Source organism: Homo sapiens, chromosome 1, assembly GCF_000001405.40.
Source record: "Homo sapiens chromosome 1, GRCh38.p14 Primary Assembly".
NCBI lineage: Eukaryota > Metazoa > Chordata > Mammalia > Primates > Hominidae > Homo > Homo sapiens.
Window position 1 is genome coordinate 175,280,947 of NC_000001.11, and position 23,095 is coordinate 175,304,041.

The 23,095-nt window shown below is 36.5% G+C and overlaps 1 long non-coding RNA gene and 1 pseudogene across 2 annotated transcripts in view, besides 1 other annotated feature; both read left to right on the forward strand.

The window, feature by feature from the left end:
- Window positions 6,564–23,095, forward strand: part of LOC105371623 (uncharacterized) — a 48,000-nt gene continuing 31,468 nt past the window's right edge. For both annotated transcript variants that reach the window (XR_001738299.2, XR_001738302.2), the window contains exon 1: window positions 6,564–6,654. This is a non-coding gene — a long non-coding RNA (uncharacterized LOC105371623). The remainder of the gene's footprint in view (window positions 6,655–23,095) is intronic.
- Window positions 6,577–6,636: a silencer, noted in NCBI's record as "silent region_1567". NCBI's record gives its function as "represses an Ori minimal core promoter by ATAC-STARR-seq in GM12878 lymphoblastoid cells {active_cell/tissue: GM12878}" and the evidence as "EXISTENCE:reporter gene assay evidence [ECO:0000049][PMID:35858748]".
- On the forward strand, window positions 16,134–16,295 carry RPS29P4 (ribosomal protein S29 pseudogene 4; annotated as a pseudogene).

The following is a 23,095-nucleotide window of genomic DNA, read 5'->3' on the forward strand; positions in this document are numbered from 1 at the left end:
CACAAACAGTGGACCTCAATGCTTGCAAATTAAGAGAAAAATCATTTAGGTGTCTGAGTGATCCCCAGAAATAATGCAACTGTGACAACAGAATCTAACTAGATCACAAATACATTTTAAAAGATCTCACTGAACAGGGTGGGAGAATTGGTGGGAGAGATAGGTGGTAGGTTTGGAAATAAATGGTGTCTGTTAAGACTAAAGGCAAATGGAACATAAGCACTGGACGCTAGCTGACAAAATTGCTTCCCATGGAGGTACAGGTTAACAATTCTGATACTACTACGGCTGTATACTGGAATTGTACAATTAAGTAAATGGATGGCAGATGGTGGGAGTTAGGTGTCTCACTGTTGGAGTGGGAATTTACAGAGAAGCATGGAGAAGAGGCTAGAATGAGCCATATGGACTAGAGTTGGGGACATCAGTAAGAACTTACGTCATCTGATATAGATAAAAATGGTTATGTGTGGGTTAATATACACACAGATATTTATTTGCCCTGTCAACTGAGAGGGCCTGAGAGAAAAAAATGACACCCAGTAACAATGAACACACCTAGCTCCCAGATCTTGATTTATAATACCATTATCCAATAATAATAATTTTAAAAGTCAGGCTTCTTGGAGAAATGGTTGATTCTAAGACTGGGGCAGGAAATATGCAAAATAAGCCTAGAACATCTTGGAATGCCATAAAGTAAGAAAGTGCTCAAACAAACACAAAAAAATTAAAAAAAAAACAAAACAAAAACTTCACCATGATGTAGGGGTGCAGGGAGCCAACTAGAAGAGCTCTCAAAAGCCAAAACTGGAGGAATTTGAGCCACAAAATGAAGTAGTATTGACTTATAACACAAAGTTAAAGCAAATATCCATGAGTCTATAGAGATAAAAATAAATGATTGAATGAATAAGTAAATGAAAGAGAAGAAACAATTCTCCCATGCAGAAAAATTGCAAGTAATTTCTGTAGATACTTTGCCCTCAAGGAGATGATGTATAACTCAAGTGTGGTCTGCACATAGTGACTTCCAAAAAATACAGTATGGATGGGGGAAAAGAAGAATAACCTAATAATGGAGAAACTTGATAAACAGTATCTCAGCCCAGTGAGTGGGGTCAACCTCAGCAGTGATAAGTCATGTTGATAGTATGTACCCTTGTTATGATGTGATGAAAATGGCACTTTACTTCTGTGTTATTCCTCCTCAAAACAAACTATGTCAAGTCTAATTACAAGAAAAAAAATCAGACAAATCCCAATTGGGAGACATTTTACAAAATATCTGGCCAGTAATCTTCAAAACTGTCAAGGTCATCAAAGACAAGGAAAGCCTTAAAAATCATCACAGCCAAGAGGAACCTAAGGGGACATTGTGACTAAATGTAATGTGTTATCCTGGATGGAATCCGGGAACAGAAGAAGGATATTAGGTGAAAAGAAATCTGGGCTGGGCACGGTGGCTTGCACCTGTAATCCTAGCACTTTGGGAGGCTGAGGCGGGTGGATTGCTTGAGTTCAGGAGTTTGAGACCAACTTGGGCAACATAGAAAGATCCCGTTTCCAAAAAACAAAAAACAAAAAAAAAAGAAAAAAAAAGAAATCTGACTTTAGTTAATAATAATGTGTCAATATCAGCTAATTAATTATAAAAAATATAATATATTAACTTAAGATGTTAATAATAGGGACAACTGGGTATAGAATATATGGAAGCCTTCTGTGCTGCCTTTGTAATTTTTCTGTAAGTCTAAAACTGTTCTAAAAAATACAGTTTATTTAATAAAAAAAGAATAAGTGCTACAGAGTTAACAGCAAAAAGATGATCTGATTGGATAAAATACAAAATCCAACTATATGCTATCTATAAAAGAAACACTAAAATATAAGGATATAGGGTAAAAGAAAAAAGAATGAAAAAAGATACATCAGGCAAAATCTAACCAAAAGGAAACTACTGTAATTATTTTAAGATCAGAAAAGCCAAAATTCTTACCAGAGATAATCACTTCATAGAAACAAACAAAAAAACCCACTTCAGTTTATCAAAAAGTTATAATAATTTTAAATTATATATACCTTAATAATAAGACATCCAAATATTCAAGCAAAAATGGTCAGAATTCAAAGAAGAAATAGACAAATCCATAATCATATTGGGTTATTTTATTTTATTTTGAGATGGAGTCTTGCTCTATGGCCAAGGCTGGAGTGTAGTGAGGTGATCTCGGCTCACTGCAACCTCCACCTCCTGGGTTCAAGTGATTCTCGTGCCTCAGCCTCTCAAGTAGCTGGGACAACAGGCATGGGCCACCAAACCCAGCTAATTTTTGTATTTTTTAGTAGAGACAGGGTTTCACCGTGTTGGCCGGGCTGGTCTCGAGCTCCTGACCTCAAGTGATCCGCCCGGCTCCGCCTCCCAAAGTGCTGGGATTACAAGCAGGAGCCACTGCACCTGGCCTCTTAGTAGGTCATTTTAATACTCCTTTTTCAATAATTGATTGAACAAGCGAATAAAAGTATCAATTGAAATTTAGAGTATTTTGAACAACCCGATGGAAAAACTTGACTTAATGAACACATATCATTGCCTTGACCAGTGCAGCATATCCATTTTTTTCAAAATACGCAGAATATCTTACGAAAATTGGCTATATGCTGACTGTAAAGCAAACCTACACAAGTTTTAAAAGACTGAAAAATGTAGATGGAGTCTTCTGAGCACAACCAAATTAAGCTAGAAATTGATGATAGAATGATAACTAGAAGGTTTATTGTTTTGAGGAAGAAAAAACACTTCTAAATAACCCTTGGTTCAAAAAAGAAATGCTTATGGAAATTAGAAAAAATTTAAATCGAATGAAAATATAAAATACTACAAATCAAAATGTGTGAGATGAAGCTAAAGCAGGACTTGAAGAAAATTTTGTACTCCAAATGCCAACATAAATAAAAAGATTAATCAAATTTAACAATGTATAAAACTGATAATACATCCTGACAAAGCTGAGTTTATCTCAAGAATGTAATATTTTAATATAGAAAATTATGTTTATTTTAACATTACTAGATGAATGGAGGAAAGTCATGTTATGATAACTAACAATAGGTGCAGAAAATATATTATCCAGTATAACATTTAGCAAAGCATTTAGCAACGTGGAAGTAAGCATTGTAAACATTTAGCAAAGTGAAAGTAGAAAAGAATTATTTAATTTAATAGAAGGTATCTATAAAAATAAAAGGGGAGAGAAGAAGAGAAAGCATCATTTGTAATGATACAATTTTGAAAACTTTCTTTTTGAGATTAAAAGAAAATGAGATGAGAGTGCTATCTCTCACCACTTACATTGCTCTGGAGATTTTAACCAATGAAATAAGGCAGGAAAAAAAGAATAAAAGATGTAATGTTTAGGACAAAAGAAATAATACTTTATTATTTAAAATATGATTTACATACTATTTTAACTGATGCAGTTTACTTTTACCTTTTTTTTTTTTAAAGAAAACATACAAGATATTATTTTATAGAATGGAAGAATAGGCCAGGCACAGTGGCTCACACCTATAATCCCAGCACTTCAGGAGGCCGAGGCAGGCGGATCACTTGAGGTCAGGAGTTTGAGACCAGCCTGGCCAACATGGTAAAACCCTGTCTTTACTAAAAATACAAAAATTAGCTGGGTGCGGTAGAACATGCCTGTAATCCCAGCTACTCAAAAGGCTAAGGCAGGAGAATTTCTTGAACCTGGGATGTGAAGGTTGCAATGAGCCAAGATGGTGCCACTGCACTCTAGCTTGGGCAACAGAGTGAGTGAGACTCTGTCTCAAGAAAAAAAAAAAAAAGAATGGAAGGATAAATGATTAGAATTAATGAGTTTGGTATGCATGCTAAAAGATTAGTGTACAAAATTAAATTATATTTCTGCGTATCAGCAACAGAGAGTTAGAAAATGAAATTTTTACAAAGGTAATCATTTACAAGATTACTTTTACAAGAATGCAAGGCCCCAACAATTCTTCGTGCAGGCCACAAGGGGTTGCTTTTGCAGTGAAAAATCTTGCAGGACAAGATAATGTCTTCCTCTGGAGAAAAGAGCAAGCCTGCTTCTTGCTTGCAATGGAATAATGGCTTTCCCAAGCTCAGTGTTCCTCAGCTGTCAGGCAAACCCCCTCCGTGCATAGCATCCACCTGTAATCCTTCATGGGACTTGGGTTGAGGAAAACCAATGCACATGCTGCTTGCTAGGCCGTAAGTAATAGAGTTTTCATCTCTTCAGGAGGCTTGTGTCTTCTGCCAGCATTCATGAAACAATAATAGGTCAACTTATTAGCTTGTAAGTAGTATAAAATCAAATCTCAGACCCAAAATAGTACCTGGAAGGGAATCTAATAAGAGACATGTAAAACCTCTTAGATGAAAATTATAACTTTTTATTGAAAGATATTAAATAAGACATAAATTGAGAGGTATTCGGTGTTCATTGACTGGAGGACCCAACATTGCAAAAAGGCCTATTCTTCCAAGTTGATGTATGGAGTTAGTGCAATTCCAATTAAAATTCTCACTGTTTTTTTTTGTGTTTGTTTGTTTGTTGTTGTTGTTGAAAACTTACAAGCTGGTTAAAGAACTTGTTTGGAAAGGCAGAGTCAAGAATAGCCGAATTCACTGACAAGAAAGAACAAGGTGGGAGGTCTTGCCCTAAAGATATTAATAATTGTTTTAAAACCGTAATAATCGAGATGGTGTAGTATTGGAACAGAGATCAACAAAAAGAAGTACATTAGAAAGATGGCACTGTGGATCAGTGGGCAAGATAGACTTGTAAATAAATAGTAATGGGGAAATTTGCTACTCATATGGGAAGAAACAAAAATACATTCCTGCCTCACATCATATATTGTGTTGAATGATATAGAATAGCAATTTTGTAGGTCAAAAGCTGTCAAGTATAGGCAATTTTATTCGACCTAATGAAACCTAATAATAATTTAATTCAACCTAATTAAAAATTCTGGGTAGATTAAAAACCTAAATGTAAAAGGTAAAACCACAACGTTTCTGAAGATAACATGGGAGAATATATTCTTGTCTCAGGATCAGAAAACAAGGCCAACAAACACTAACCATTAAGGAAAAGATTGATAAATTTGACTACATAAAAACCAAAAAATTCTCTTTATTGAAGACATCATAAAGAGGGTGGAAAGACAAGCAAATAGTACAAGATAAGATATAAATGCACATAACTGAAAAATGCTTCCTATCTAGAAAAAAAAAAACTCCTAAAACCAATAAGAAAATGACAAACAACCTAACAGAAAAATGGTTCAATGAGTTATGCAGATCTTTCAAATCTGACATATCTTATTATACAATATCAAAAAATTACATTTTTAACATGACTACTGATCTCATCAGAAAAGATCTTAAATGCTGGGAAGCTGTCAAGCTTACTGTGGTAGATACAAATTTTTCAAAATTCTAATTTTCTCTTGAGAGCTCAAATTTTATCAAGATTGTTTTCCTTGAAGTGACAGGTTCACTTGCTCATTTTTGAGGAAATGTCTGCCAGATACCCAAGTCTGAGAAAACCATAGTTTGTCAGTTGTTCTTTCAAGTAAAAATGGCATTTCATGAAAAAAGCAACTAGTTCAGCTGGTGATTCAAACAATCACGCAAGTTCTTTTCCTCAAGACGATCATTGTACTTGGGTATGCCGCAGAAGTGCTTTAAGCATTCTTTCCATTTAGTCACACAGAATTAAAAAGACATGCAATCACGGTCAAGATGTACTAAAGTTAATAATTTCTGCTCTTTTGTCAAGGATATTCTTAAGGGAAGTGATTTTTTGTTTGTTTTACTGGGAATAAAAAATATAATTACTGTGAGTACGGTTTGTTGCCATTGCCTTGATTTGTGCTAAGACCCCTGTAGTTTTGCCAACCATTGGTGCAACTGTCGATGTGAAGAAATTTTTCCTTAATATTGTTATAAAAATAGTGTGGATTTTGTGGGTCCCCTGAAAAGGCCTCATGGGCTCCTAAGGATCCATGGACTACAGTTTGACAAATGTTGACCCAGAGGGGTGATTTTGCCGATGTCAACAAGGTAGTAATAAAAACACCTAAAATCCGTGTGGTCATTATCTTTCTTTTCTGCCATAAGGTCTCTTGGGACCATTCTGCCTGAAATGGTAATCAGGGCATTTTGATGGGTTCTATATGATGAAGCACTTTTGACATAACTCATTTGACTACACAACTGACATGACTTTGGGATGGATGCAGTGAGTTCAAAGACGGACAGAAATTAAGTTCAACTCTCCTTAACTTTTTTTCAAACCTGGAAGTTAATAATAGACTTCTTCTTTTTAGACTGGGTCAAAACTTTCCTGATGTCTAAATGTCATAAATCTACTTACCATATTTTACAAGGTAAGATGCCTTTAATAGTGTTCAATTAAACTACATTTGGCCTGAGGATGCCTCCATACTTTGAATCCTTACATAATGAACTGCAACCTAACTTAGTACATAAAGTAACTCAAAGCCTAACTTCTGTCACAAATGGCTGAGGCTCAGCCAATCACAACAGTGGAGCTTCAGTCAGTTGCAGGCAGCCCACGGATCAGGTGATGTTCAGAAAAGGTAAACGCAGAGCTGTAACCAATAAGGCTGTTTCTGCACCTCACTTCTGTTTTCTGTCCATTAATGCTTCCTGCCCACGTTGTGGGGAGGAGCTCTCTGAACCTCTGCTGCTTCTGAGGGATTCAAGAATATATTTTTTGCTCAATTAAACTCCTAAATCTAATTTGTCTAAAGCTTTTCTTTTAACAGTACCAATTAACAGAAAACCCAACTGAAACTGTCTTAAACAAACAAACAAAAAAAGGAGATACATTCATGATTCCGGGTCAGAACTGACTTAGCAATTTGAAAATGTAATCAGAACTCAGTTTCTTTCAGAGTTTCTGTTTAGCCTCATGTGGTGTCAGCTTCATTCTAAGCCTGGCTTTTTTTCATTTTAAGCCTGGCTTTTTTCCCTAGTGCAGGGAAAATGAAAGCACTGGTTCTTAGAGTTTCTTTCATACACTACAAAATTTAGAGAGAGTGAGAATTTCATTTCGTGAAGCTAACAGACATCTGCTGTAATACTCTTGAACTGAATTGGGACATGTGTTTCCCCTTGAAAAGATAACTGTGAGCCAGAATGGGATTGTAATAATTGATGTAGGCCTGAACAACTGTGTTCTACCCCTGCAGCAGTGGTTTTCAAAGGGAAATGATTTTGCCCCCGTGGAACAACTGGAGGGAGGGAGGTGTGCTACTGGTATCTAGTGGGTGGAGGCCAGGGAAGATGCTAAACATGTAGCAATGTTATGGTGCACAGGACGGTCCATCCCTCCACCCGCCAACAAAGAATTAGCTGGCTCAGAATGTCAATAGTGCCAACATTGAGAAACTCTGCCCTAGGGGAAGGTGTGTATATCTGAATGAATTTGGGGGAATTTAGCAAGAATAAAGGGAATAGATGTTGGGGAGGCAGGCAAGTATTAAGTCTATTACGTATACTTTTCCCCACTTCTGGTCTATTGGAAGACCTTTCCTGTGGAAAACTATCTTCTATTTGGCCTCAATTCCCACTCAGGAAATTGGGAAGACATTTTTACTTTCATTAGGAATAGAAAAGGATTCAAATGTTGCTGATTGCCTTTGAATACTTTAAGGATTGAATAAGTGTGATAGTATCTGAAGTGAAAGGAAAAGAAAATTCTCTCTTAGGTGGACACTGTGAAAGTTGTCAGAATCAAAATGGAGTTGCTTGTGTTAAAAAAAAAATCTTGACAAATAGATCCAGGGAAGGCCATGAAGAGAAGGTTCTCATGCATATGTGACTGATAATAAGAATATCACAAAAGACTGAAAAAAACACAACTTTGCACAAAGGCCATTACAACCTTACGCAAAAAAATACTCCTGTGGGGACAGCTGCCCAGCAACTGCCTGTCCAGTCTTGAGCTAGTGCTACTCTTGTTCTTGATCCTTGTAGTCAAGGATAGTTAACTACAGTGTGTGTGTTCCCATTGTAATGCTGCACCCCCAAATAAGCATCACTTTCTTCTATACAGCTTCTCTGATAGAAATGGTGTCCAGAAGTGGGACCTTACATAAGATCACTTTTGGAAGGAATTGGTGATTCCTGGAACTGATATGCAGTACTCACCTGAGCTCTATGGGCTCTCTCCTTCATGGCTCACCTTTTCTGCACAAGGAGTCTTGTCTCAAGCCAAACCCCCTTCTTTTTGGTACAGGCTTTTTGAATTTATTCGGGATTTGGTTTTGTTATAAGGCTATCTTAAATAAAAACCTTGCATCTATCTGTCTTGGGACCGTGAAAGTGTTTTATTTTTTTTTCTTTTTTTTTTTGTTTGTTGAAAGCCTTTTCTTGTATAAAGACAAGTGTCCTGGTCTGAGTAGCTTGGTTTCTACAGGATTTACATTCTCTGTGGGGCATATCTTTTCTGGTGAATTCATCTTGGTTCTGCGTGCCTAATTTAATATTGTGTTTGATCTGTATGCCTGATTTAAAATATTTGTGAACACACTGATTTCAGTTTCATTTTGGCGTGGTTAGGTGTGCGTACAAATGATTTGACTCTTTTCCCTTGCTTGTTTTTGAAAATCTTCTGAGTGCAAAAAAGAACATTCTAAATGGTGGATGCAAGATGGCCAGTTAAAAGCCACTTAGGACAGTCACCACCATATAAACACCAGTCCAAACTCCTGATATCCCCCGATCAAAGTTATAGGATTTTCTTTGCTCTGGAAAGATTGATAAGAAAGGGAATGGGATTCTCAAAATTCTAAGGCATGCCAGTTTTTCTATGGCCCCAGCAGACTACATCGCTTTTCTCATGTGCATTTCTAAATCCATGGCTATCATGGAGATGATTTGAACTCACCAAGCCTGTTTTTCTTGGAGCTGAAGTAAAAACTGCAACTACAGAGTTAATATATAGAGCCTTCTAAGATCTCTCGTTATTTATTTATTTTTTTCCAGCCTACTTCTGACCTTTGTGCTGATGTTGAGATGAACACCAAATATTCAGAGCCTACAAAAATGATTAACAGGGAAATAACTTGAAGTGATGACTTGCTTTGTTCAATATGTCAGTTTTCATAAATGGTCTAGGTAAATTTTTGAAAAATAAATAATTTAGGTAAAAAACTGGGTAAATAACAAAATTAAGGCAGAAATAAATACGTTATTTGAAACCAGTGAGAACAAAGACACAACGTACCAGAATCTCTGGGACACATTTAAAGCAGTGTGTAGAGGGAAATTTATAGTACTAAATGCCCGCAGGAGAAAGTGGGAAAGATCTAAAATCGACACCCGAACATCACAATTAAAAGAACTAGAGAAGCAAGAGCAAACTAATTTGAAAGCTAGCAGAAGACGAGAAATAACTAAGATCAGAGAAGAACTGAAGGAGATAGAGACACAAAAACCCCCTCTAAAAATCAATGAATCAATGAATCCAGGAGCTGGTTTTTTGAAAAGATTAACAAAATATATAGGCCACTAGCCACATTAATAAAGAAGAAAAGAGAGAAGAATCAAATAAACACAATAAAAAATGATAAACGGGATATCACCACTGATCTCACAGAAGAAAAACTAGCATCAGAGAATACTATAAACACCTCTATGCAAATAAACTAGAAAATCTAGAAGAAATGGATAAATTCCTGGACACATACACCCTCCCAAGACTATATCAAGAAGAAGTGAAATCCCTGAACAGACAAGTAACAAGTTCTGAAACTGAGGCAGTAATTAATAGCCTACCAACCAAAAAATGTCCAGGACCAGACAGATTCATAGCCAAATTCTACCAGAGGTACAAAAAGGAACTGGTACCATTCCTTCTGAAACTATTCCAAACAATAGAAGAAAGGAATCCTCCCTAACTCATTTTATGAGGCCAGCATCACCCTGATACCAAAATCTGGCAGAGACAAAACAACAACAACAAATTTTAGGCCAATATCCTTGATGAACATCTATATAAAAATCCTCAATAAAATACTGGCAAACCGAATCCAGCAGCACATCAAAAATCTTATCCACCATGATCATGTCGGCTTCACCCTTGGGATGCAAGGCTGGTTCAACATACGCAAATCAATAAACACAATTCATCACATAAACAGAACCAATGGCAAAAACCACATGATTATCTCAACAGATGCAGAAAAGGCCTTCGATAAAATTCAACACCCCTTCATGCTAAAAACTCTCAATAAACTAGGTACTGATGGAACATATCTCAAAATAATAAGAGCTATTTATGACAAACCCACAGCCAATATCATACTGAATGGGCAAAAGCTGGAAGCATTCCCTTTGAAAACTGGCACAAGACAAGGATGCCTTCTCTCACCATACTATTAGTCCATGCTCTTCAACATAGTATTGGAAGTTCTGGCCAGGGCAATCAGGCAAGAGAAAGAAAGAAAGGGTATTCAAATAGGAAGAGAGGAAGTCAAATTGTCTCTGTTTGCAGATGACATGATTGTATATTTAGAAAACCCCATTGTCTCAGCCCAAAGTCTCCTTAAGCTGATAAGCACCTTCAGCAAAGTCTCAGGATACAAAATCAATGTGCAAAAACCAGAAGCATTCCTGTACACCAAGAACAGACAAACAGAGAGCCAAATCATGAGTGAACTCCCATTCACAATTGCTACAAAGAGAATAAAATACCTAGGAATCCAACTTACAAGGGATGTGAAGGACCACTTCAAGGAGAACTACAAACCACTGCTCAAGGGAAGAGAGAGGACACAAACAAATGGAAAAACATTCCATGCTCATGGATAGGAAGAATCAATATCATGAAAATGGCCATACTGCCCAAAGTAATTTATGTATTCAGTGCTATCCCCATCAAGCTACCATTGACTTTCTTCACAGAATTAGAAAAAACTACTTTAAATTTCATATGCAACCAAAAAAGAGCCTGTATAGCCAAGAAAATCCTAAGCAAAAAGAACAAAGCTGGAGGCACCATGCTACCTGACTTCAAACTATACTACAAGGCTACAGTAACCAAAACAGCATGGTACTGATACTAAAACAGATATATAGACCAATGGAACAGAACAGAGACCTCAGAAATAATGCTGCACATCTACAACCATCTGATCTTTGACAAACCTGACAAAAGCAAGCAATAGGGAAAGGATTCCCTATTTAATAAATGGTGTTGGGAAAACTGGCTAACCATATGCAGAAAACTGAAACTGGACTGTTCCTACAAAATTTGACTCAAGATGGATAAAGACTTAAAAGCCATAAAAACTCTAGAGGAATACCTAGACATTGCCATTCAGGACATAGGCATAGGCAAGGACTTCATGACTAAAACACTGAAAGCAATGACAACAAAAGCCAAAATTGACAAATGGGATCTAATTAAACTAAAGAGCTTCTGCACAGCAAAAGAAACTATCATCAGAGTGAACAGGCAACCTACAGAATGGGAGAAAATTTTTGCAATCTACTTATCTGTTAAAGGGCTAATATCCAGAATCTACAAGGAACTTAAACAAGTTTACAAGAAAAAAACAACCCCATCAAAAAGTGGGCGAAGGATATGAACAGACACTTCTCAAAAGAATACATTTATGCGGCCAACAAACATATGAAAAAAAGCTCATCATCACTGGTCATTAGAGAAACGCAAATCAAGACTACATTGAGATACCATCTTATGCCAGTTAGAATGGCGATCATTAAAAAGTCAGGAATCAACAGATGCTGGAGAGGATGTGGAGAAATAGGAATGCTTTTACACTGTTGGTGGGAGTGTAAATTAGTTCAATCATTGTGGAAGACAGTGTGGCAATTTCTCAAGGATCTAGAACCAGAAATAGCATTTAACCCAGCAATTCCATTACTGGGTATATACCCAAAGGATTATCAATCATTCTGCTATAGAGACACATGCACACATATGTTTATTGCAGCACTATTCACAATAGCAAAGACTTGGAACCAACCCACACATATACACCATGGAATACTATATAGCCATGAAAAAGAATAAGTTCATGTCCTTTGCAGAAGCATGGATGAAGCTGGAAACCATCATTCTCAGCAAACTAACACAGGAACAGAAAACCAAACACTGCATGTTCTCACTCATAAGTGGGAGTTCAACAATGAGAACACATGGACACAGGGAGGGGAACATCACACACGAGGGCCTGTAGAGGGGTGGAGGGCTACGGGACAGATAGCATTAGGAGAAATACCTAATGTAGATGACGGGTTGATGTTTGCAGTAAACCACCATGTTACGTGTATACCTATGTAACAAACTTGCACATTCTGCACATGTAACCCAGAACTTAAAGTATAATAATAAAAAAATGCAATAATGAGAAGAAAAAATAAAAAAATAGAAAATAAGTCAAATACATGTTTATAAATGAACTTTTCATGTGATTTAAAGTCTTAAAATTATGTTAAATTAAGTGATAGATATTAACGTCTAGGTCATTTACAAATAAGATAAAATACTGAGATGTAGCTGACAGTTCAAAATTTCTTGCTTCCTAGGTTTTCACTAGAAATTGAGGTTACTAAGAGTCAAAAATTCTAAGTAATATATAATTCTGTTCACAAAGTGTACCAAAAAGTAAGATGTGTTTTTAATGAGAGAAATTATAAGGAAGGCATAAAAATGTATTCCTCAGCCAGGCGCGGTGGCTCACACCTCTAATCCCAGCACTTTGGGAGGCAAGTGAGCGGATCACGAGGTCAGGAGATCAAGACCATCCTGGTTAACATGGTGAAACCCTTGTCTCTACTAAAAATACAAAAAAATTAGCCAGGTGTGGTGGTGGGCACCTGTAGTCCCAGCTACTTGGGAGGCTGAGCAGGAGAATGGTGTGAACACAGGAGGTGGAGCTTGCCGTGAGCCAAGATCGTGCCACTGCACTCCAGCCTGGGCAGCAGAGTGAGACTTTGACTCAAAAAAAAAAACAAAAAACAACAAAACGTATTCCTCATTGAGAAGAAAAAAATTTAGTCTCAATCCAGAGGCTTGTTTCCAGAAGTAAATTTAGAAAAGACGTAGAACAAGATAGAAAGGAACCAGTAAGTAGTAGAGTGAGAGATGTGAAGAAAGGTACAGGTATAAAGATGTATTTTTGGTAAGGAAGATTAAAAAAGAACAAAAGAAAAATTTTCTATGAGAAAGAATTTTGTGTAGTGAATTTTTTCCTAAAGTAAAATGACTAGTTATTTAAGAAAGAGGAAACACAGGACAAAGCAAAAGGCTGAAGCATGTCGTTGACAGTCTGAGTAAGTTGTGATAAGGTTTGTGAAGGATGAATTTAGGAAAGAAATTTTGTCTGTGATCAAGTTGGCTATAATTAGATGGAAATTATGTCTTTCTAAAGATTGAGCTTTGATATAAAAATTGAGCTTTTGATATGAAAAATTAAAAAGATTGAGCTTTGATATATAACTAAAAAATTTTGGTTCCCTGTGTTAGCACAACCAAGTTTCTTTTGAAGTATTGATCTTGTCTTAGTAAAAGTTGCAAGAGGTTTTGATTTTTGATTCTGAAATCTGTTTCTTTTAATTTTCAGTTATCTTCTGAACTGCAGCTTCTTCCTGTTGTACAGTTTATGTTTCTGCCACATTTCTTCCTGAGATACATTTAGTTTTTCCTAGTTTCTGGTTAGAAATGCTGTTTTCCTCATTTAGAATGATAATTTCAATTATCAAGGTAAAGTTTTCCTCTTGAAGATTCTTGGATTCGTATATCAGAAGTTCAGCTTTTGCTGTGTCTCTGCATGAGATTTGTAGGTCACATATCATTGCCTTCTGATCTCCTCCTTTCTCTCCTTGAGAAGGTCTGGGATGAGAACTCTCTCCTTAAATATTTTTGCCAGCTCCTATAATGTTCTCTCTATTTCTATCCCTACTGTTATGGCCTGACACTGAAATGTTTCCCTTGAAAGCCTAGCAAAGCAATGTTTTCCTCCAGTATAACTTGACTCCCTATTCTTGGCTTTTCTTGATGTGTCTTGATTGCTTCATGTAGCCAGAAAACTTCCCATGCTATTACTAAAAGCCATGGATTACCCTGCTCAAGGTGTTGGTTTTCCTGTTTATGTTCCTCTTTAATGTGGTGTACACTCATAGCTTTGAACATGTTCTTCCTGTGTCTGATTAAATTCAAGTGCCTTTTCATCAGGTTTGACTCCAGGATATCTAAATGGGTTTCCCATAAAAAGAAGCAATCATACTGCCAGAAGATTTTAATAAAAACAAAATCCTTTTGGTAACTGGCCTGAGAAACAAAGATTGTATATTTTATTAAGATAATTTCATGTTGTGTTTATTAGGTTTTTGATTACTTAGAGAAACTGAGTTTTGATGAGGTTAAGGATTTTTACATCCACGTAACTTTCTGTATTGCTTTTGAAGTCTTTTGATTATCACTCTAGTTAAATGAATAGCTAGTATTTCCACAGTGACCTGTGATCCTGTTTTGATCAAGTGTTTTAAACCTTTGGGTACCTTTGAAAGACTTCCCCATATCAAAATTCTAAATTAAGTATTTTTGACCTAAAATTGACTTTGATATTTTTCAGTGGTGTCCCTGGAGAGCTTCAAAGGATGTATTCCTCATCTTGTAGAGAGATATTAAATGATTAGGCTTATTTGGTAAATTATATGGGAAACATTGTCAAATGAGAAGTGATACTAGATCTTTTTCCAGTTACATTTATGGGTATGTTACTAATAAAAATGTTTCAAAACTGTATATAAAATTCTTTTTTTTTGAGACGAAGTCTCGTTCTTGTCCCCCAGGCTGGAGTGCAATGGCGCGATCTCGGCTCACTGCACCTCTGCCTCCCAGGTTCAAGCGATTCTCCTGCCTCAGCCTCCCGAGTAGCTAGGAATACAGATGCCTGCCACCACGCTGGGCTAACTTTTGTATTTTTAGTAAAGACGGGGTTTCACCATGTTGGCCAGGCTGGTCTTAAACTCCTGACCTCAGGTGATCCTCCTGCCTCGGCCTCCCAAAGTGCTGAGATTACAGGTGTGAGCCACCGCGCCTGGCCCTATAAAATTCTTAAAAGTGTAATATGTCATATCTGTAACAGTTCTGGTTATTATATTGAATGCCACAAAAATCCCAAATTCCCTTGTCAATTGCTGATTGTAATGAACTTTCATCAGATTTTTAACGATGGCTATTTTAAGTCTGTCTTCCACGTTATCGTCTCAATTTTTCTCTAAAAGCATTTGTAATCAGATTCATGGAAAAGATACTAACAAGTATTCTTAAATACAGGTTTCTAATAGCTTTAAAATCAATGGACTAAATAAAAATGTCCCAGAATTCTAATAAAAATACTGATGGATTCATGAAGATGCTAATCAAGACAAAGCAGAACAAAATTAATGACATTGGAAAACTGGTGAAAAAAACGTTTGTTTCCTTTTTCTTTGAGACGGAGTCTCACTCTGTGCCCAGGCTGAAGTGCAGTGGTGCGGTCTTGGCTCACTGCAGTCTCCGCCTCCAAGGTTCAAGCTATTCTCATGTCTCAGCCTCCTGAGTAGCTGGGACTACAGGCGCACATCATTAAGCCTGGCTAATTTTTGTATTTTTAGTAGAGATGGGGTTTTGCCATGTTGGCCAGGCTGGTCTACAACTTCTGACTTCAAGTGATCCACACTCCTTGGCCTCCCAATGTGCTGGGATTACAGATGTGAGCCACTGCACCAGGCCAAAAATAATGTTTTTATGACTTTTATTTGAAACATCATTCGTTCTTTACTTAAATGCTTTATTTTTCAGATTTAAGGAAATTTTATCTCTTAAGCTATCTATTTGGTAAGGTATACTGCTGTGAACAAAGGTGAAAACATTTGCTTTTTCTTCTTATTTGATCCCTCCAAAATTTGAAAACATTTGTGAGTATTCTTCTTCTTCTTGTTATTTTTTGCAATATGGTTACTTGCATAAATTCAATAAGAATCTGCTCCCTTTATACAGGATATGCCTTTACCTCATTATACTCCTGAAAGCAAGATGGGTCACCAGCAGCTCTGCTGGAGAAAATTCAGCCAGGGTTTGCACTCTTGCTGCGTCTGCTCAAACTGGCATAGTCTGATCCAGAAATATGGCCTCAGTAGGTGCCACCGGTGTTTCCATCAGTACATGAAGGATATAGGTTTCATTTAGTTGGACTAAGTGATCTTCTTTAAATGGATTATCCAAGGCATCCATGCAATGAAAGAAACCATGTTACCTATTTTTACATAAAATAAAAATTTTATAAAACAAGCAAAAAATATAACAGTATACAATAGAATTCATTGGTTATATTACCAAGGCTTTGACTGAAATGTCGTATTTGTGAATGTGCATAGAATGCCTGACTTCAAAGATTCTCACCCTTACAGTGAGTGAATGAAAATTGTCACTTCCTGGCAGGCCCAAGAACCTTCAGACTATAAGTGAAATCTAAAGTCTTCCTTGATGTGGCTTTCTAGCCTGAGGAAGTTTTGAGACTTTGATTTCTTTTTATCACTTTTTATCTCAACATTGATCACTTTTTATCTCTACGTTGAATTACACAGGAAATTCAGATTTGAGTTCCTATGCAATTCCTATGTACTTTCTATGTTTTAAAAACACTAGAATACTCCTTTTATTAAACTGTAGCCATATGCATTGTTTCCAAATTCTTGTTATCTATCTATAGACTGGACTAAATCCTAAATTCTTCTAGTTTCTTCCAGTTCAATTTTCTTCCATAGAATTACCAAAAATAAGAAATGCTTTGTTCTGGAAGCCCTATACACTGAAGTTATTAATAGGTAAATTTTAAGGAACAAGTCTCAGGGTTGATGTATAGGTCATACAAAGTTCATCAAACTGTCTGATGCCATCAACAAAGACATTCGAACTGCAAACCAGTACAAGAAGGTGATGTTTTTATGCTGTAGACAGCTTTTACCAAGATATTAGAACAGTATTCCATATCATAATGAGAGTCTTACGCCTCTTAATTTCTACCTTTTTCATTTGGCAGGATAATGGTTGTATGATTTATTTAATTGGTTGTCTTTTTAAGCCAAGGTTCATGGCTGAAAACTGTTATGCAAACTGGGATTGGCATATTACAATTAATTTTACTTTGTATTTTTATTTTTAAAACTTTGTATCTGTTACTTGTTAAATTTTTGCAGACATATAACTCCTGAGAAAATAATGCAGGCCCAACACTTGAGATGATGATAAAAGACTATGGAACAGACAAAATTGAACCTAATAATGAATTGGGGTAGATGTAGCCTGAGAGCTACTCCCTTCAAACCTCCCTTGTTGCTCAAATGTGGTTAAAGGGATTTTGACATGTCTCCTAGGCACCATTCACTCCTTCCCATGAGGAACCAGACCAACAGTCTGGGATAGGTCCATCCCAGCATCCAGGGACAATGAAAACCTAACTACAGGATGATTGATCACTGGTGCTTTTGGAGAAAGATCTTGATCAAAAAGGGGAAATGTGAAAGCTTTCAGAATCAAAATGAGGTCACTTGTGTTAAACAAACAAACAAGAAAACAAACAAACAAAATCCTGACAAAACCAAGGAAGGCCATGATGGGGAGGTTCTCATGCATAAAAGGCTGATAACAAAAACTGTCATGAAAGACTGCAAAAATCACAACATGGCACAAAGGCCATTGCAATCTTAAACACACACACAGAAAAATACTCCTGTAGGAACACTGCCCAGCAACTACCTGTTAACATTGAATTGGCATCACCCTTGTTACTGATCCTTGTAGTCAAGGACAATAATCTCAAAAACAATTATGTAATCCTCCTTACTTTTCCTTTAAAGGTCTTTGTCTTCCTTTATCTTCCCAACTATGCACGTAGTTTACTATGGCATGTGTATTCCAATTGCAAAGCGGTATTCTCCACAAAATACCATTTTTCTTTTAAGAGAGTCTCTGTTTGTTATGTAGGTTGACAACATCAAAGTATTATGGTTTCCCTAAATTATTAGGTAATCTGTGATTTTCTGGGCTTCCAGTTCCCTAGCTGGATGTTGTGACCAAGCCAACTGTATACTTATAAGGCCTTCCAAATAGTTTCTGCAAACTATTATACATCCTGAAATAAAATGCCTAAATATTTGCAGAGGCCCGTATGGCTGCTTCTCAGACAAAGAAGAGAGAACTCTGACTGTTGAGAGTATCCTCAGAATCCATTTCATCCTTTATACACACACATTTTTTTTTTCATTTTTATTTGACTTCTTAGAGAAAGAAGAGGCAGAGAATCTGAAATGCCTTTTCCTTTTTCAATCTGACTTTTTTTAGGTTTCTCTTGAACATAGACCCCCCACCCTTCTGCCCCCCACCTCCCGTATTTCTCTAGGGGTTTCACTCACTCTAGTCATATTTTCACACCACTACCATCAGTCCTCTGTCAAGGTCACAAATAAACTTCTGACCTTATGTCTTCTCTCAGCAGTATTCAACACAATTGATCACTCCCTTTTCTTTGAATGTTTTCTTTATTGGATTTTTGTTGCTGTTTTGTTTTTTTTTTAGACAAAGTCTCCCTCTGTCGCCAGGCTGGAGTGCAGTGGCACAATCTCGGCTCACTGCAACCTCCACCTCCCGGGTTCAAGAGATTCCCCTGCCTCAGCCTCCTGAGTAGCTGGGACTACAGGCACACGCCACCATGCCTGGCTAATTTTTTTGTATTTTAGTAGAGATGAGGTTTCATTATGTTGGCCAGGATAGTCTGAATCTCCTGACCTTGTCATCCGCCTGCCTCAGCCTCCCAAAGTGCTGGGATTACAGATGTGAGCCACCGCTTCCAGCCTTTACTTGGATTTTAGGATATCACACCCTCCCGAGTTTTCCTCTTCTCTCAGTACCTTCTCCTTTTCAGGATCCTTTCCCCATCAACCTTTTAAAGTTGTAATGTTCCACCTACCAATTATAATCCCCAGGGAAACTATAAAGAAAATAGCTAAAGAATGTAGTAAAAGAAATAAGTGGCAGGGCGCGGCGGCTCCCTCCTGTAATCCTAGCACTTTGGGAGGCCTAGGCGGGTGGATCACCTGAGATCGGGAGTTCGAGACCAGCATGACCAACATGGAGAAACCCCGTCTCTACTAAAAATACAAAATTAGCCGGGCGTGGTGATGGGTGCCTGTAATCCCAGCTACTCAGGAAGCTGATGCAGGAGAATCGCTTGAACCTGGGAGGTGGAGGTTGTGGTGAGCCTAGATCAGCCTGGGCAACAAGAGTGAAACTCTGTCTCAAAAAAATGAGATAGAGGAACAAAAAGATATAAGACATGTAGAAAAGAATAAAATGGCATAGGCAAGTCCTACCTTATCTGTAGTTTTATTAAATATAAAAAGATTAAACACCCTAATTCAAGGGAAAAAATTGGTGGGATAGATTAAAAAAACATGATATAACCAGCTGTCTGTAAGAGGCATGTTTTTGATTCACAGACAAAAATAGGCTGAAAGGAAAAGAATGAGCAAAGCTATACCATGCAAACTAATCTCTCAAAAGAAAGCTGAAGGGTCTACATTAGTTTCAGACAAAACAGACTTTATGGCAAAAATTGCTACTAGAGACAAAGATATTTTATAATGATAAAAGGGTTAATCCATCAAGAAAATAGAACAATTATAAATGCATGTGCACCTAACAACAGAGCCCAGAATCACAAAATAATATAACTGAAAGGGGAAAGAGACAATTTAACAGTAATTGTAGAATTCGATACCCCATTTTCTATAATGCATAGAACAACCAGAAAGAAGATCAAGAAAGAAATAGAAGACTTGAAAACATTGTGAAACAACTAGATCTAAAAGATACCTATAGAACATTCCATCCCAAATCAGCAGAAAAGTCAATATCTCAAGGGCACATGGAATATTCTCCAGGCCACAAAGCAAGTCTTAATAAATTTAAAAGGTTTTAAATCTTATAAAATGTATTCTCTGTCTACAATTGAAATAAATAAACAGAAGGAAATTTGGGAAACTCACAAATTAATGAGAATTAAACAACATACTCTTAAATAGCCAATAGTTTAAAGACCTAATCACAAAGGGAATTAGAAAATACTTTGAATTGGACGGAAATGAAAACACAACATACCAGAACTTATAAGATGCAGCTAATGCAGTGTTTAGAGGGAATTTTCAGCTGTGAATGCCTATACTAAATAATAATAAGATCTAAAATCAATAACTTAAACCTCACCTGGAGAAGCTAGAAAAAGGAAAGCAAATAAAACCCCAGGCCAGGAGAAGGAAGAAAATAATAAAGGGTAGAGCAGAAATAAATGAAATATGAAATAAAAAAATTTAGAAAATCAATGAGACTCAAAGTTTCTTCTTTGAAAATATCAACAATATTGACAAACTTTAAGCTAGACTGAGAAAAAATAGAGAAGACTCAAATTACTGAAATTTGGAATTAAAGAGAAAACATTGCTACTGGTCTTACAGGAATAAAAAAGATTCTAGGACAATATTGTGAAAAATTTATGCCAACAAATTCAATTGCCTAGATGAAATGGAAAAGTTCCTGGAAACACACAAACTACTGAAACTGGCTAAAGAAGAAATAAAACATCTCGGTAGATATATAACAAGTCAAGAGATTGAATTAGTAATAAAAACCTTCCTACAAAGAAAATGCCAGGCCCAGATAAGTTACTCATGAATTCTACCAAATGTTTAAAGAATAATTAATATCAGTTCTTCACAAACTGTTCCAAAATAAAAACATGAGGACACACTTTCGAATTTGTTCTATGAGACTGGTATCACTATAATACCAAAACATAACAAAGACTTCACAGACACACACAAGAAAACCACAGGCCAATGTCCCTTATAAGTATATAATAGATACAAAAATTCTCAAGAAAATACTAGCAAAGTGAATCTAGTAACATATACAGAGGGGTTATATACTATGATCAACTGGGATTTATCCCATGAAGGCTGGGTTGTTTCAATACATGACAATTCATCCAGGTAATAAAGGACAAAATCACACAATCATCTCAATAGTTGCAGAAAAATCCCATGATTATCTCAATAGTTGCAGAAAAAGCATTTGACAAAATCTAATACCAAAAGTACAAGCAACTAACATAAAATAAATTGAACTTCATCAAAATAAAAAACTTTAGTGCTTTAAACGAAACTACTAAGAAAGCAAAAAAGCAACCCACAGAATGAAAAATGTTTGCAAATAGTGTATTTGATAAAGGTATGATGAGAATATGGAGAGAATATAAAGAACTTACAGTGCAGCAAAAAAAAAACCCAATTAATAATGGGCAAATAATTTAATATGTATTTCTCCAAGGAAGATATACAAGCAGTGAACACATGAAAAGACACTCAACATCATTAGTCATTAGGGAAATGTAAATTTCTACAATGAGATACCACTTTACACCCACCACTATGGCAATTATAAAAAACGCAGGGCAATAAGAAAAGTTGGTGAGTATGTAGAGAAATTGAAACCTTTGTTCATTGCTGGTGGTGCAAAATGGTGCAACTGCTTTGGAAACATTGTTAGCTGCTATATGACCCACCAGTTCCACTCCTTGGTAAGTTTCCAAGAGAAAGAAAAACATATCTCGACATAAAAAACCTTGTGCATGAATGTTCATGGGAGCATTATTCAGAATAGCCAAAAAGTGGAAACAACTCATATGACCATCAATTGTTGAGTGGCTAGACAAAATGTGGAATATCTGTGTAATAGAATACTAACCAGCCATAAAAAGGAATGAAGTACATGTTGCAATATGGATGAACATTGGAAACACTACATGAAGTGAAAAGCACCAGACACAACTGACCACATAATGTATGATTCCATTTATATGAAATGTCCAGAATGGGAAAATCCATAGAGATATAAAGTAGATGTGTGATTTTCAGGGGTTGGAGGAAGGGAATACTGGGAATGACTGCTAATGGGTAAGAGGTTTCTTTTTGGAGTGGAAAAATGTTTTGGAATTAGGTCTTAGTGATTGTTGTACAACCTCATGAGTATACTAAAACCACCAAATTGTATACCTTTAAAAGATGTATTTTATGGTATATAAATTATACCTCAATTTTAAAAGATTCTTATTTCAAAAGTCAGGGCTTGGGAGAAATTGTAGTCATTCTTGACTTTTACCATTCCACAACCAATCCATCAGGAAATCCTGCCAGCTATGCTTAGAAATATATCCAGAAACAGATCACTTTCACCAACTCCATTGCTACATCCCCTGGTTTAAGCAACCATAATTTCTTCCTCAATTATTGTACTAGCCTCCTCACTGGACATTCTGCTTCCATACTTGCCTCCTACTCTATTCTTAACACAGCAGCTGCAGTGATGATGCCATTCTTCTATGCAAAAATCTCTAATGTCATTCCACTTCACTGACAGTAAAAACCAAAGTTGCTATTATGGTCCATAGGCTCTAGAGCTATACAGTCCAACATAGTAGCCATTAGTCACATGTGGTTATTGAGGCATTGAAATGGAACCTCAGCAAATAAGGAATTTTGAAAGTGTATTTGGAAGAACTCATGTGTGTGTGAATCTACTTTTCCAAGTGCGAATTTTACTTAGTTTTTGATTTAGAAAGCTAAATACAGGTTGCAATTGTTTACTAGGGATGCCATACAAAGTACCACAGACTGGCCAGCTTAAACAGAAATCCATTTTCTCATGATTCTAGAGGGTGAAAGTCTCAGATGAAGGTGTCACTGCGTTGATATCTTCTGAGGTCTCTTTCTTTGGCTTGCAGATGGCTATCTTCTGCTGTCTTACACTGTCTTCCTTCTGTGTGTGTCTGTGCCCTGATCTCTCTTCTTATAAGGACGCCAGTCATTATAAGGACGCCAGTCATTTGGATTCTTCTTATAAGGACACCAGTCATTTGGATTAGGGTTTACCTATATGACCTCATT